The sequence below is a fragment of the Homo sapiens genome, chromosome 11, assembly GCF_000001405.40.
Source record: "Homo sapiens chromosome 11, GRCh38.p14 Primary Assembly".
NCBI classification, from domain to species: domain Eukaryota; kingdom Metazoa; phylum Chordata; class Mammalia; order Primates; family Hominidae; genus Homo; species Homo sapiens.
In genome coordinates this window covers 83193684-83210614 of record NC_000011.10, presented here as the reverse complement: position 1 = coordinate 83210614, position 16931 = coordinate 83193684, and the positions used below count along the sequence as shown (strand labels likewise).

General features: G+C 40.0%; 1 protein-coding gene and 1 pseudogene across 8 annotated transcripts in view, besides 3 other annotated features; both read right to left on the bottom strand.

The window, feature by feature from the left end:
- ANKRD42 (ankyrin repeat domain 42) overlaps window positions 1–16903 on the bottom strand; it is a 70571-nt gene extending 53668 nt beyond the window's left edge. For 4 of the 8 annotated variants that reach the window (NM_001300972.2, NM_001300975.2, NM_001300977.2 and 1 more), the window contains exons 1-4: window positions 15887–16903; window positions 11973–12136; window positions 4450–4557; window positions 196–315 (exon numbers count right to left, since the gene is read on the bottom strand). In NM_001300972.2, the coding sequence (NP_001287901.1) occupies window positions 196–315; window positions 4450–4557; window positions 11973–12136; window positions 15887–15944 (450 nt within the window). In that variant the 5' untranslated portion in view covers window positions 15945–16903. The remainder of the gene's footprint in view (window positions 1–195; window positions 316–4449; window positions 4558–11972; window positions 12137–15886) is intronic. The other 4 variants (NM_001433541.1, NM_001300973.2, NR_125355.2 and 1 more) reach the window with 3 other exon arrangements.
- On the bottom strand, window positions 506–1281 carry CKS1BP4 (CDC28 protein kinase regulatory subunit 1B pseudogene 4; annotated as a pseudogene).
- Window positions 15927–16286: an enhancer, noted in NCBI's record as "active region_5351". NCBI's record gives its function as "activates an Ori minimal core promoter by ATAC-STARR-seq in GM12878 lymphoblastoid cells {active_cell/tissue: GM12878}" and the evidence as "EXISTENCE:reporter gene assay evidence [ECO:0000049][PMID:35858748]".
- Window positions 16494–16672: a silencer, noted in NCBI's record as "fragment chr11:82904985-82905163 (GRCh37/hg19 assembly coordinates)". NCBI's record gives its function as "represses an EF-1alpha promoter that drives an FKBP-Casp9 reporter gene in an ReSE screen in K562 erythroleukemia cells {active_cell/tissue: K562}" and the evidence as "EXISTENCE:reporter gene assay evidence [ECO:0000049][PMID:32094911]".
- Window positions 16807–16916: an enhancer, noted in NCBI's record as "active region_5350". NCBI's record gives its function as "activates an Ori minimal core promoter by ATAC-STARR-seq in GM12878 lymphoblastoid cells {active_cell/tissue: GM12878}" and the evidence as "EXISTENCE:reporter gene assay evidence [ECO:0000049][PMID:35858748]".

Genomic DNA, 16931 nt, shown 5'->3' with positions numbered 1-16931 from the left:
TTTTGGGGGGGAAGAGAAGACTTGTCTGAATTATTGCTTCTATGTTTAAAGATAGAAAAGCTAGAGAGAAAAATTAAATTAGTTTCCCAAAGTCATATTAAGAGATCTAAAAAGTCAGGAAGAGATAACTAGACTACCAAATGCTATTCCATCTATATTATCACACATTAGCACATATTAACAGGAGTCACTCACCACTCCACTTCGGAGCATTATTTGTAAAGTGAAAGAATGTCCATGAGTTGCAGCAAGATGTAAAGGAGTGCATCCCCGGTCATCCTGGGCTGTCAGATTTGCTCCATTCATTATAAGAGCCTAAAAATAGAGAAATAGGAAAGACTTTACATGAGTATAGATGTTAAACCATAAATGCAGATGCAGATTATACAAAGGCAAGCAATTTATTAATCTATAGCTAAATTCTTATGTATGTTCTTACATATGTGCTACAGGCAAAACATAAGAAATTCTCAGCTAATGCTAAGAAAATGTTTGTTTTTTTTTTTAGATTACAAAAACTTCCTCTCTAATCAAGGCTTTTAACATGAACAGATTTCTTGAATAAAATGGAAAGTTTCCAGTACACTGAAACATAAATTCTCAAGTTGCCATACATACAACACCCGGCAGGAAAAAACAAAAACAGCAAGTTTACATGATCCCTGTAACAGCCACAGTCTCAAACTCAGATGCTTCCTCCATCTGCCAAGTGTATTCTGGATACAGACAACATCGTGGCTTCTGGGGTCATATTCAGCTGAGGCTGTGGGTCCACAGAGCACTCATCTGGCTGGGCTATGGTGGTGGTGGCTCTACCCAAGAAGCAAAGCAGTTACCAGCACATTGAAACAGTACATTGAACATCTTCTAAATATGAAAGTGAGAAACAAGAAGGCAACAAAAAATGTTGTCAGAAAGATGTTAGGAAGTAAGGACAGCTGTGTAAAGCTTGAGGCTGAAAAGCAGCTTGCCAGCTTCATTTCTTTGGCTTCTTGGGTAGTGGGCACCGGAACAGCAATATGTGAGGTTCTGGTTCATGGATCATATAATAGACCCATCCCTGACTCTGCTGAACGCCAAGATTCCTCCATTCAGATTCAGACATCAAATGGGTTTTACGGACCAGCTTGGCTATGTCCTTGGGCAGCACGACATGTCGATACTCAAACTCCTCGTCGTCGTATTTGTCTGAATAGTAAATTTGTTTGTGCGACATGATCGCTCGGTTTGCTAGCCTGCAGCCCCGCGCTGCCAACCTCCAAGCAACTCCCAGCAGCACGCACTCCCACCCACTTTGGCCTCAAGAAAATGTTTTAACATTGCCTAGAAGACACTTATAATATTGATTTTACATTCTGATTTGAGCATGTATATATAATTTATAAGACACATCTTTCATGAGCACAGATAAATTGCCGCTAAGTTAAATTCTTTAATTCTAACCTGATAAAACTGAAATTAAACTTTCACTAATTCAAAAGCAGAATCCTTTGTTAACAGGGTTTTGGACTCAATAAAATAATTAATTATTAAAGTGACTAGTTCTAAGCTCCAAATCAAGTTTCTAACTACATCTAAAGAGGTTCCATCTGAATTTGCAATTGGCCTAGTTTCTATATATGGGTTATACCATATCCAGAGTAATTGGCTTCAAAGAATGATTAGTCCCAGCCAGGAGTGGTTGCTCATGCCTGTAATCCTGGCACTTTGGGAGGCTGAGGTGGAAGGATCACTCGAGCCCAGGAGTTAGAGACTCTTCTATACTTTACCATTCCTGTAATCTTTTTCTCCAGCCCCCTTTTCAACTGCCTGGGCCCTCTCTACCTGGATGACCTACAGACACATTAAACTCAACGTATGCCAAATTGAACTCAACATCTTTCCTCCCAATCTTCCTTGCTTTTCAGATTTCCCTATTCATTCCATCATAATTATCTGTTATTCTGACTCAAAATTTGAATTTTCACTACGCTCTGTCAATGTTTGCTTTGCAAGATATCTTGGCTCATTTTCTTTCTTTCCCTCTGCCACCACCTATTTTTACCCTCTCTGGTTAGTGATTACAGCAAAAAATCTCTAACTGATCTTCTTAACTCTTCCTTCATCCTAATAATCCTGGACACACTTTGCTAGAATAATTCCCTGAAATACTGTTTTCATTATCTCATTCCCCGGTTAAGGTCCATGTGGATGTTTATGTGTACGTGTAAATATATATACAAACATATTCACACACACACACACACACAAACACACACACGTATATAAAAACTCTCTTTTCTCAGCCAGATGCCGTGGCTCATGCCTGTAATCCCAGCATTTTGGGAGGCCAAGGCAGGAGGACCACTTGAGCCCAGGAGTTCAAGACCAGCCTAGGCAACATAGGGAGACCCCCCCCTCCCACAGACATCTCTACAAAAAAAATTAGCCAGGCAAGGTGATGCATGTTGGTGGTCTCAGTTACTTGGGAGGCTGAGGTGGGAGGATCACTTGGGCCCAGGAGGTTGATGCTGCAGTGAGTCATGACCAGGGCACTGCACTCCAGCCAGGGTGACAGAGCAAGACCCTGTCTCAAAAAACAAAAACAAAAACAAAACCTCTCTTTTCTTTCCAGGTAATCACAGGGTTGAGGAGGGGGGGAAAAACTCTCTTTCTATACAAATGAATCCAAAATCTTCATTATATTACTGAGGCACTTTACAAAACCAGTCTATCCAAGCGTGGTTCTTAACAGTCCACACCACAAATAATCTATACTCAGTAAAACTAATATAATGGTATATCCCCTGAACACAGCCCAATTTTCCAATTCAGGAGCTTCTTACAGAAGTATAGCATAGAGATTAATAGGACAAGTCTAGGTTCAAATCCTAGCTCTGTCACTTGCTTAGGCAAGGTACTTAACACTCTGAATTTGTTTTGTAACCTATATAAAAGGGAACTCACAGAACTGTTTGTGTTGGATGAAATGATACATGAGAGACTAACACACAATAAATCTCCAATGAATGACAATCATTATTTTTATTTGCTCCTAACATATTGCCTGCCTCTATAATACTTCCTCATTACTTACCTCTTTAAAATCAACCCACTCTTTTGGGCTTAGCTGATGTTTTATTTCCTCCATTTATGATCCCTCTACCTCCTCCTAAATTACACAATTCTTCTCATCTATATTTTTCATTAGAACTTTAATCATACATTTTGCTTTGTATTGTTTTGTAACTCACTGAGTAGAGCTCCTGTCCCTTCAAACAATCTCACGCTTCTTCCTGGCAGGAACTGTGATGTACATTGGCTGTGTTCCCCCTCAAATCTCATTTGAATTGTAGTTCCCATAATCTCCACGTGTCATGGGAGGGACACAGTGGGAGGTAATTGAATCATGGGGGTGGTTACCCCATGCTATTCTCATGATAGTGAGTGAGTTCTCACGAGATCTGATGGTCTTATAAGAAGCTTTCCCCCTTTGCTCAGCACTTCTCTCTTCCTGCCATCCTGTGAAGAAGGATGTGTTTGCTTCCCCTTCCACCATGATTGTAAGTTTCCTGAGGCCTTCCCAGCCATGTGGAACTGTGAGTCATCTAAACCTTTTTTCTTTATAAATTACCCAGTCTCAGGTATTTCTTCATAGTAGTGTGAGAATGGACTAATACCAGCTGTTTGCTTATATGACTCTGTACTCCTCCAAATTCCAGTCTATTTCAAAACACTGAATAAATTAATTACTCTAATAAACTAGATCCTACCATATATTAATGTGTCACCCTGGTCAGGCAATACATTAAATACGAAATTTTAGGCATGGCCAAGTGTCTTAGTCTGTTTGGACTACTATAACAAAATATCATAAACTGGGGAGCATATAAACAACAAAAATTTATTTCTCATAGTTCTGGAGGCTGGGAAGTCCAAGATTAAGGTGGTGGCAGATTCTGTCTGGTGAGGGCTCATTCTGCATAGATAGTGCCTTCTCACAGCATCCTCATATGGTGGAAGAGGCTAGAGAGCTAGCTCTCTGAGGTCTCTTGCAAAAGGACATTAATCCCATTTATGAGGGCAAACCCCTCATGACCTAATAACCTCCCAAAAGGCCTCACCTCTTAACACCATCACCTTGGGGTTAAGATTTCAACATATTTATTTTGGAGGACACAAACATTCAGACCACAGCAGCAAGCTATAAAAGAGATAATCTGGTTATGACTGTGAGATCTCTTAAAACAACGCAGACAGCCAACTACATCAGAGATAAGAGGATTTCTGGTCACATACCATTTGTTTAAGTGGATAGCTGGTATCAGAATATCTGAGTTGTGGAATCCAGTAAGTTCTTGTTTAGAACATAAAACTAAATCTATTGAGTCAAATAATTAGAATAATAGCAATATCCCAACAGAACTATGTTAAAGTAATTGAACTTACTGAAAAAAGTAATATTATTACCTGTACACAAGCATCCTGACCCCTGATTGCAGCTATGTGAGATGCTGTCCAACCTCTCGTTGTTACGTGTGTGATATCAGCTCCATGCCAGAGCAGCCAATGAAGACACTAAGAAAATAACCATGTTAACAAGTGATAAAGTGGATGTTTTTAACATTTTTATCTTTTAAATTTGGTCTGTTATCATAAAATAGCAGACTGTAGTGAATGAGAGATCCATGTATAAGAAAAACAAAAGCACAAGCACAGTGACATGGCAACCAACATTTGGCCTCACTGCTGGGTAAACAATAGAGACTAGTGGGAACTGTGGCAAACTGGAGACCATATTTCTTGTCTGTAAGGTGTAGACACTACTCAATTACAGTCAGTGGTTGCTATGAGTGAAATGCTTATCCAATGTTTGTAAATATTCTGTTTGACCAATACTGTGCAGGCCAAAGAAAACAGATCTAAGAGTCAAATTCACTCAAAGGCTGCCAGTTTTCAATCTCAAACATAGATCTTTAAACGGGTCCAGAGCTTTTGCATCAGAGCAAACATTGTTATTCTAGTGATTCTAAAAAATAAATGGTTTATTTAAAAAAAATGAGAGAAGTCAAATGTATCTTTAAGATTTTTAAAAATTAATCTAAATCTCAATATAATACAGTACTTAAAGGTCTGTACCACATACGGTGTTACTGTCTTTATATGTTCAAGTTTGTATATGCTACCACCTCTTCCTTTTTAAAAGAATTGATCATATCATTGGGATACACTGTCATAGAAGTCATAATCATATTATTTGTTTAAAAGGCTTATCAAGTAAATATCATTTTCCTGCAGCAGAGACTAATGACAATAAAATATTAAAAAACCTCAATCTCAATAATAATCATAGTAAGTCATTCATTTATTCAACAATATTTATGAAAAGACTATTATGTGCATTGTTCAGGTACTAGAGAATAAAGCCACTGTCGACATTCATGTACTGGTTTTACATTTGTCTTGGGTGAATATGTAGAAGTGAGATTGCTAGAACATAAAATAAGTATATATTTAACTTTATTTTAAAAACTGCCAAACTGTTTTCTAACGTGGCTGTACCTCTCTACATTCCCACCAGCAATGTATGGGAGTTCCAGTTTCTCGATATCCTTATAAACACTTTGTATTGCCATTTTTTTGGTTTTTTGTTTTTTCTGCTATTCTTACAGGTATCTCATTGTGGTCTTAATTTGCATTTGCCTAATGGCTAATGATGTTGAACATCTTTTCATATGTTTAATTGCCATCCATATGTACTCTTTGAGAAAGTGTCAACTGAAGTCTTTTGCCCATTAAAATTTTTTTTCTTACTGCTGAGTTCTGAGAGTTCCTTATATAATCTGGTTACAAGTTCTTAGGTACGTGATTTGCAAAGGTTTTCTTCTCTATTTTCTCTGTAAGTTTTATAAGTTTTACATTTATCTACAATCTGTTTTGAGTAAATTTTTGCATATGGTACCAAGTATGGCTCAAGCTTCATTTTCTTTTTTTTTTAATTTTAGATTCAGAGGGTACATGTGCCAAGTTCGTTCGTTTCATGGATATGCTGCATGATGCTGAGGCATTTGGGCTTCTATTGAACCCATCTCCCAAATAGTGACCAGGTTACCAAACAGGTAGTTTTTCAACCCTTGCCTCCTTCCCTATCTACTTTTGGAATCCCCAGTGTCTATTGTTCCCATCTCTTTGTCCATGTGTACCCAATATTTAGGTCCCACATATAAGTGAAAATATGTGGTTTTTCGTTTTCTGTTTCTGTGTTAATTCACTTAGGATAAAAGGTTCATTTTCTTACATATGAATATGTGTAATTGTGCCAACATCATTTAATGAAAATATATCTGCTCTCCACTGAATTACATTTGCATCTTTGTTAAAAATCAATTGACCGGCTGGGTGCAGTGGTTCATGTCTGTAATCTCAGCATTTTGGGAGGCTGTGGCAGGTGGATCATTTAAAGTCAGGAATTCAAGACTATCCTGGTCAACATGGTGAAACCCTGTCTCTACTAAAAATACAAAAATTAGACAGGCGTGGTGGCGGGCACCTGCAGTACCAGCCACTCAAGAGGCTGAGGCAGGAGAATCACTTGAACCCAGGAGGCAGAGGTTGCAGTGAGCCGAGATCATGCCACTGTACTCCAGCCTGGACAACAGAACCAGACTCTGTCTTGAAAAGAGAAAAGAGAGAAGAGAGAAGAGAACCGAACCAGATGGAAATTCTGGAGTTGAACAGTATATCTGAAATGAAAAGTTTACTAGGAGCTCAATAGCAGATTTCATCTGAAAAAAACTGAAGTCCAATAAAGCATGGTTTTTTACCAATTATTAATTTAGTGATTATTTCTTGCAACCAATATATAAATATCAAAAATCTTAAGAAAATTCAGAAAGGTTAAAAAACTGTAAAGGTGTTAACGTAGTGCTCAAGTAAAGATTTAGGGCCAGACGCGGTGGTTCATGCCTGTAATCCTAGCATTTTGGGAGACCAAGGCAGGTGGATCACAAGGTCAGGAGTTTGAGACGAGCCTGGCCAACATAATGAAACTCCGTCTCTACTAAAAATACAAAAATTAGCTGGGTGTGGTGGCACATGCCTGTAGTCCCAGCTATTCGGGAGGCTGAGGCAGGAGAATCATTTGAACCCAGGAGGCAGGGGTTGCAGTCAACCAAGACGGTGCCATTGCACTCCAGCCTGGGCGACAGAGCAAGACTCCCTCTCAAAAAAAAAAAAAAAAAGAAAGAAAAAAAGGAAAACTTAGGAGATGACCTTTAAGTAGGAATAGAGAAAAGCACTAAAATCTTTTGGTTTCTGTTTATGCTTGTTAAAATCCAACAAACAGGCTGGGGCATGGTGGCTCACACCTGTAATCCCTATTGGGAGGCCAAGACAAGTGGATCACTTGAGGTCAGGAGTTAGAGACCAGCCTGGCCCACGTGGTGAAACCCCATCTCTACCAAAAATACAAAAAATTAGACAGGTATGGTGGCACATGCACCTGTAGTCCCAGCTACATAAGAGGCTGAGGTGGGAGAGCTGCTTGAACCTGGGAGGCAGAGGTTGCAGTGAACTGAGATCACACCACTGCACTCCAGCCTGGGAAACAAGAGCGATACCCTGTCTGAAAAAAAAAAAAAAAAAAAATCCAACCAACATTTATTGAACATCTGCTAGGCACTGTGCTAGACACTAAAAATATAAACGTAAATTTAATTCAACAAATTCAGCAACATGAGAAACATTTCTTGTGAACTTATGATGTGACTCCTATAATATGCCAGATATTACACTAGGTATTGTGGAAAAAAAGATGAATGAGACTCAAATGGTATCTTCAAAGAGCTCAAAATCTAATAGAGAATAAAATTTAAAGTTATACACTTTTTAAAATTTATAAGATTTAGAGGTAGCACTAAGGAGTCAGTAACTAGTTGGGAGATATTGAGGGGGAAAACAGAAAGCTTTACCAAGTGGGTACTGACTGACCTGGATTTCAACCAGGTAACCAGTGGGAAGAGATGAGACAGGCAGATGAAACAGCATGTGCATACTGCCCAAAGTAATTTATAGATTCAATGCTATTCCCATCAAGCTACCATTGACTTTCTTCACAGAATTAGAAAGAACTACTTTAAATTTCATATGGAACCAAAAAAGAGCCCGTAGAGCTAAGGCAATCCTAAGCAAAAAGAACAAAGCTGGAGGCATCATGCTACCTGACTTCAAACTATACTACAAGGCTACAGTAACCAAAACAGCATGGTACTGGTGCCAAAACAGATAAATAGACCAATGGAACAGAACAAGAGTGCTCAGAAATAACACCACACATCTACAACCACCTGATCTTCAACAAATCTGACTTTTGCAACAGGGGAAGGATTTCCTGTTTAATAAATGGTGCTGGGAAAATTGGCTAGCCATATGCAGAAAACTGAAACTGGATCCCTTTCTTAAGCCTTATATAAAAATTAATTCAAGATGGATTAAAGACTTAAAAGTAACACCTAAACCCATAAAAGCCCTAGAAGAAAAACTAGGCAATACCATTCTGGACATAGCCATGGGCAAAGACTTCATGACTAAAACACCAAAAGCAATTGCAACAAAAGCCAACATTGACAAATAGGATTTAATTAAACTAAAGAGCTTCTGCACAACAAAAGAAACTATCATCAGAGTGAACAGGCAACCTACAGAATGGGAAAAAATTTGTGCAATCTATCCATCTGACAAAGGGCTAACATCTAGAATCTACAAGAAACTTAAATTTATAAGAAAAAAACAACCCCATCAAAAAGTGGGCAAAGGATATGAACAGATACTTCTCAAAAGAAGACATTTATGCAGCCAACAAACATATGAAAAAAAGCTCATCACTGGTCATTAGAGAAACGCAAGTCAAAACTACAATGAGATACCATCTCACACCAGTTAGAATGACAATCATTAAAAAGTCAGGGAACAACAGATGCTGGAGAGGATGTGGAGAAATAGGAACTCTTTTACACTGTTGGTGGGAATGTAAATTAGTTTAACCATTGTGGAAGACAGTGTAGCAATTCCTCAAGGATCTAGAACCAGAAATACCATTTGACCCAGCAATCCTGGTCATATATTACTGGGTATATGCCCAAAGGATTATAAATCATTCTACTATAAAGACATGCACATGTATGTTTACTGCAGCGCTATTCACAATAGCAAAGACTTGGAACCAACCCAAATGCCCATCAATGATAGGCTAAAGAAAATGTGGCACATATACACCATGGAATACCATGCAGCCATAAAAAAAGAATGAGTTCACGTCCTTTGCGGGGCCATGGATGAAGCTGGAAACCACCATTCTTAGCAAACTAACACAGGAACAGAAAACCAAACACCACATGTTCTCACTCATAAGTGGAAGTTGAACAATAAGAACACATGGACACAGCGAGGGGAACATCACACACTGGGGCCTGTCGGGGGGTGGAGGGTTAGGGGAGGCGGAGCATTAGGACAAATACCTAATGCATGCAGGGCTTAAAACCTAGAAGACTGGTTGTTGGGTGCAGCAAACCACCATGGCATATGTATACCTATGTAACAAAACTGCAGGTTCTGCCCATGTATCCTAGAACTTAAAGTATTAAAAAAAAAGAAAAGAAAAGAAACAGCATGTGCAAAGCCTATGATAATATGGAACAGTAGACTAATTTGGGAAATGATGGTAGTCACCAGTACTATAGCATAAAACAATTATGATGGGAGATGAGGTTAGAGAAATAAGTCTACCATGTTAAATGGCTTGAACTTTATCCTATGGAGGGCAGAGAGTTACTACAGGGTTTTAAGGAAGGTCTCAAGTAATATTAGATTTTAGTTTTACAGAGAAAATAGCTTTGTATATAGTATATGGACTACAGGTGGACCACACACACAAAAAAATAAAATTAATTAAATCTAAGAACATGGTTATGGGGATGGAGAGGACAAATTCAGGAGACAAAGATGGAGCAGAATCAACTGACCTAGTGACTAGTTCTCACTGCATCAATGTGTAACACGAACTGCACCTTCATCTAGACAAATGCTGATAATGTGTTTTGATTATATGAAATACTGAAACAACTCAATGATGATTCAAAGGCTATTGCCCTAGAAAACTACAAAATGGAGGGAAAAATATAACAGTTTTAGTGTTAGACTAGTTGAATTTGAGATGCCAGTCAGATATGCATGAGCTATGATCAAGCACTTAATACATAATCCAAAAGTCAGGAGAGAGAGCAAATAAATGAATTATGTAGAAGCGATAAAGCCAAAGAAGTTTAAAAGACTGACTGGAGAAACTGTAAAGTAGGAAAGAAATGTAAACAATACTACAATTACACAATAGGAGGAGTGAGTTAACCAAAGTAGACTGAGTGAGAGTAGTAAGAGAAGCTGAAAGGGCACCAGAAAAGAGATGAAATAAATGGTATATCCTGATGTCTATTAGAATATGGCAGAGTAAAATCAGTACTTCCCCCTTCTCTCCAAAATCACCCAAAAGCAAAGAGCAAAAAAACCCAGAAAACTCCAACTAGATGAAACTAGGAGACATCTGTAACTCAAACTACAAACAGATTAAAAAACCTGCCAAAGTGCAGAACAAATAGGAATGTGGGAGGAAACAGCAGAGAGAACCACCTACCCACGGATACCAGCTCACAAAGAACCATCAGGCTCCAAAGAAAGGCACAAGTAAAAATCCTTTGTTTATAATAACATTTAAGTGAGGCACACAAACTGGTAGAGGGAGAGTCTCTGAACCAGATTTGGTTACAAGAAGCAAAGAAGTACAAATAAAGAAGATATCACACAGGACTGCCATACTCACAGAAGGAAGTCATGTGTGTGTGGTAGGGGTAAAAAGACAATGCATTGTCAACAGACCTATTGTAGCTTATAGGCTGGGGAAATGTAGCTAAAATAAGCCCCCCATACACATAACCTTGAATCATGAGAAAAGTGCTAGTTAGCCTTGGACAGAGCCCAAGGATCAGATTTGCATTAAAATACTCACTAAGCAGTTAGTACTAGCTAAAAATTGAAACCAAATAAATATCCAACAATACAAAAACAGATAAATTCTGATACCAGTCTAAGAATAGAATAAACGACATGGCTGAAAGAAATGAACTAGAGTACATATATGTAACCATATGGATAAAACTCAAAAACATATTGTTGAACAAAAAAAAGCTAAAGAATAATATACATAATGTGATATCATTTATATAATGTATGTCATTCAAAATAATGATATAATCATATGTAATAACAGCATAAAACATAGATAGGAATAATAAACACCAAAATCAGGGTAATAGTTATCTCTGGAGTTGGAAGCAGAGGAATGGCACCTGAGAGGGGTACTTAGGGACTTCAAATGTACCTGCAACATTCCATTCCTTTTCTAAAAATCTGACACTACTAAAGCAAAAATGTTAGAATACATATTCATTTTATTATCCACTCCAAGTAATCCTCTATGCTCACCTTTGGAACCCAGTCACCATATTGTGAGGAAGTAGAAACTAGCTCACATGTAGAAACCTCACAAATAGGCCCACAGGGATGAAGTTTAAGGTGCCTAATCCATAACCAGCATCAACCACCAGAGACATCTTGAGTGAATAAGCCTTCAGAAGAATCTAGCCCCAGCTTTTTAATATTCCAGCTGAAGCCCCAGATATCATGGAGCAGAGACAAGCTGTCTCCGGGATCCAAATTCTTGGGTTTGTTCATGAGTATAAATAAATCATTAGTTTATTATGCTAAATTTTAGGATAATTTGTTATAAAGCCCTAGCAAAGTGGAATACCCAAATATTAAACTGACTATGACTGAAAAGAAAATATATGCAGTACCTACCATAAGGTCTCAGCCCTGTTTGCTAAATTTACAAAACTGTTATAGCTAAAACTTACCTCAGTTTAGTGATATGTATAGTTTCTTACCTCCAAACTTCCAGAATGTGCTGCCCAATGTAAAGGGGTAAACTTATGGAGAACATCAAGTTCATTAATGCTGGCTCCACGTACCACTATTTCTGAAAGCTGCTTTACATCTCCAGCTCGTACTGCATCATGTATGCTGCCAAAATGCACCTTCTTCCTGGAACCTATTGAAAAATCAAATTACTTACAATGTACTACAAAACTATGAAAGAAAAAAAAAGACTAAAACAGTGATATAACAGAAAGCACAAAATTACTTTGGCTTTCCAAATAATTTACTACAAAGATGTTTGTCATTAATATCTTAAACAGACTTCTGGTTCCAACACTGACATGTAAAAAGCATGGAAGTTGACACTCCCATCCTTATAGGGAAAAATGAATGAACAGAAAATGAACAACTTTTCTTGGACCCATCAGAGAACTGAGGTCTCAGGGCAAACTGCCACCCCAAATCTGGAGAGACAAATACAGAAAAATACAGTCCTGGAGCCATAAAGTGGTAGAAGCACTTACATGGTAATGTTGATGACTTGCCAGAGGTTGAGTACATACTAGCCAAAGAATGAGAAACTTCTAAGGGCCACACTCTTACCTAGGGAGCCACTACACTTTCATAGATTTTACCTTCAGAAACCTCACCAGGTTACCATTGTGAAAAGCCAGGAACTCATGTTTTTGGCAGTGAGAAGGGGAAAGTAACCATTTTGAAATATGCCCCATGTGTTGTTCTCCATAACAAAGGCCTCCCTAGTGAAAAAGACTTCACCAGAGCCTCATCTCATACATGCAAATATATTTTATCAACATCTTTCTTATATTTCTAATTTATGTCTTACACTAAGAAAGGAATGGCAGGCCACGATTTTTAATTCACATACTCTTAGTGCTTCATATTTTATAATTTAATTAATAAGCATTGTGAACCAGAGGCAATAAAGGTATCTAAGCACGAACAGATAACTATTAGAGAAGAATGAAGGAGTAAGCAGTTCAACTTCAGCATTCTCTAAATAAAACAGGCATGATTCCTGACCTGAAGTTGTTTTGAAAACAGCTCACCAACACATCTGGCAAATGATCTGTGCAACCTTGTACTACTATTTATCTATGTACATGTCCTCTCTCCACAATCAGAATGTTAATTTCTTAAGGGCAAAAATAATATTTTACACTGGAATTATATCTTACTTTTATTACATCTTTTTATATACTCTAATTATATCTTTGCTCTTAGCAAACTGCTATAACTGTACTCAAAAAGCCTTTCTGAACATCTACCATGAGTCAGGCACTATGATAACATGATAGAAAATGGACATGGATTTAATACATTTTTTTTCCGCCAACACATTAAAATCTATTTGGATAAATACATAATGAAAACAAAAACCTGACAGCAATGTCCTCAGAGAGTACAGGTAAAATTAAGGAGAAACAAAACAAGTCACAGAGGAGGAGGAAACATTCAAGCAAGACCTTGAAGAACAATTAAGATATATGGCAAATGGGAACGAGAGCATCTGTAAGGTGTGCACATGTACACATACACACACACACACCTTTAATAAACGTTCAGTGATGTTAATCCCTAGGCCGGACCTTCATTCTTCTTTAAACTAGCACAGCCAGACCTACAAATGATGTTCTATCCACTCTACTTATTTTACACAGAGACACTCCTCTAATCCATCTTACACAGACCAACTATCCTAATCACTTCATGCCCCTACTCTAAACTGCCACTGGTTGGTCACTGCTACTCTACAAAACAAAACCCAAACTCTCAGTATGACCTCTATGGCCTCCCATAATTTGGCTCCATCTAATTTTATGGTCTTTTTTCTCACTACATTCCATCCCGATTTATTCACTCATCCACTCATCCATCTACTCAACGTAAGTCTGGTGTCTACCATAAGGATAAAAAGATGAAGACACCCTCAAGGAACTCACAGATTAGTAGAGAAGATACAAACACAAAATACAAAATAATGTGGTAAAAGCAACGATGGAAATATTCATAGGAACCTGTGGAAGCACAGATGACTTCAAACTCAGCCAGGGTAGGAGGGAAGGGGAACACAGAAGGATTCCTGGGGAAAGTTACATCTAAGATAGAATCTTCAAGGATTAACAGGAGTTTGCCAAGGCAAGTAGGAGCAGTGAGTAGGCCTAAACAGCATGAACAGTAGGACATGGTCAAGAAACCACACACACACACACACACACACACACACACACTCTCACACACTCACACACAAATCCTACTACTAAAGTATTAAGGGGATAAATAGGCTAGAACTAGACAAGAAACAGACAATGGTGAAACTTATTTTTAAAAACTTGGACTTGAGCAGACAGTGGAGAATCACTGAGGAATTTTAAACAGAAGAATTATAATGATTGAGAGCTGTAAGGCTGAGTTTACAAGGCTAAATTCAGGGAAGAGAATTTACTGAATGGGGAGCAAAAAGGCAAGACTAAAGAGTAGGTTGATTGGCCGGGCGCGGTGGCTCACGCCTGTAATCCCAGGACTTTGGGAGGCCGAGGTGGGCAGATCATGAGGTCAGGAGGAGACCATCATGGCTAACACAGTGAAACTCCGTTTCTACTAAAAATACAAAAAATTAGCCGGGTGTGGTGGTGGGCCCCTGTTGCCCTAGCTACTCGGGAGGCTGACGCAGAAGAATGGTGTGAACCTGGAAGGCGGAGATTGCAGTGAGCTGAGGACCGCGCCACTGCACTCCAGCATGGGGGACAGAGCAAGACTCCGTCTCCAAAAAAAAAAAAAAAAGAGAGAGAGAGAGAGTAGGTAGATCATGTAAGAATACAGTTTACAATAGTCTAGACCAGAAAAAATGAGACTCTGAACACTGGGAAAAGAAAAGGAGAAAGATTCAACAAATATTAATAAAATTAGAATGAACTAAACTGGAATGGATACAGTGGGTGAAACAAGGGAAAAGTAATAAGATAACTCCAAGGTGTGTGGCTTTATCATCTGAGTGCTGTGGTGCCATTAGTTGAGACAGCAAACACTGAAGGACAGAGAGGATATATAGATATAAAATTACATTTTGGACATGCTGCTCTTGAGGTACCCAAGGAAAATTTCCAGAAGGGAGATATCTATATATATGTTTGCAGCTCCGAGGAGAGATACGGAATTCAGGTCTCAGTGTTACGTGTGTCTCTGTATTAGAATGCTTTTTCTGACACCCATACTCACCCCCTACTGGAATCAGTGGCATTCTACCGTCCTTTATAACACTGATCTCACTTGTCATTATTTGCTCAGCATTTATCTTCCTCACTAGAAGGTAAAGAATGTGCCTGTCTTCTTAAGTTCCTTAAGACGGAGCACAAAGTAGGCATATGCAGTAAATATTTACTGGATGGTTGAATGAGTAACCGATTTGAGGGCCACCAGTAGGACTGAAGTCACAGTAAATGACAAGAAAAAGAGAACCAATGATGGCATCATCAAGGGGTAAAAGCTGCATTTAAGAAGATGGCAGAAGAAAAGAAAACGGTAAGGGAAAGGGTCACTCAATGGAGTGAAAGAAGAAAACTAAGTAAGTACTAATTTGTCACCTCCACAGGGTCAAATGCTGCAGGGAAGTCAAGGAAGAACTTAAAAGGGTCCGTCCATTAAGACTGAACAAGAGTTGATGTCAAGCTGGGCAAGAAGACTCGGAGGAATAGTGTGGATGGAAAAAAGGAAAGAAAGCGGAAATAATACAGAACAGGGGAGAGCTGAACAGCTTTGGTATCCCCTGAAAATAAATTAAAAAGGGAAAGGGGGGAGTGACGGCTGAGAAAAGGAAATGCCAGAAAGGGCTAAGGCTGTTGCGGGCTTAAGTGAGAAAAGGAATACGACAGAGATGAAGGCCAATGACAGTCTGACTCACAGGGGTTTGCAGTCTCCCTAGAGGAAGTGGAGGGGCCTGAATTGGCCACCCCGGGCATGGCGCAACACCTCCGACTCTGGGGAGGAGTTGAGTCCAGGCCCCTGATGCTGCGGCGGTCTTCACTTGCTCTCACCCACGAGCCACTGCAGCGGCAGCGGCCCTCTTCTCCGTCGTCACTAGGACGGGGCCCAAGGTCCTCTCTTGCTCTCTCCCAGAAGCTGCAGCGGAAACCTTCGTCTTCACTTTCTCTCTCCCAAAAGCCACTGAAGCGGTAGCTGGCGTCTTCACTGCCGCTCACACCAGAGGAGTCGCTGGCTGCGTAGCCGCGGTCTCCACTTACTTCCTCCCAAGAACTACCAACGCTGTGGCCGCCTTCGACACTCCCTCCCTCCCAGGAGCCACTGAAGCGGCGACTGCGATCGTCACTGACTCTATCCCCGAAGTCACTAGTTCGCGGGTCCCGAATGTCACTGACTCCCTCCCAAGGACCACTGAGGCGGAGGCCTCGGTCTTCTCTGGCTGTTCCCCTGGAGTCGGTAGTTTGGTGGCCTCCAACTTCACTAAAATTCACGTCGCTGCTGCAGAAGGTGCTGTCTCCCCTAACTCTCTCCCAAGAGCAGCTGTGACTGTGGCCACTATCTCCCCTAACTCTCTCCCTAGAGACGCTGCGGCAGTGGCCGAGGTTTTCACTGACCCTTCTCAAGTCACTGCGGGAGAAGCCGGCGTCTGCACTTAGGCTTCCTGCAGCGACCCTGGAGCGGCGGTCGCTCTCTTCACATTTTCTTTCCCCGTCGTCGCTAACTCTTTCCCTAGACTCGGCGCCGGAATGGCCGTGTAGACCGTTTATCCTCCACACGTGGTGGCTAGTGCGGCGGCCACCGTCTTCGTCTGCTACTCCCTGCGAATCGCCGTAGCGGCGGCCGCCTTCCGCTGGTACTTTCTCGGAGTCTCTTTCCAGCCTCCCGACTCCAGCCACTTGGCTGGAGAGGCAGCAGGGCCGTCGCCTTGGAAACGAGTACACTTCCGACGTGCTGAGGTCATTTCC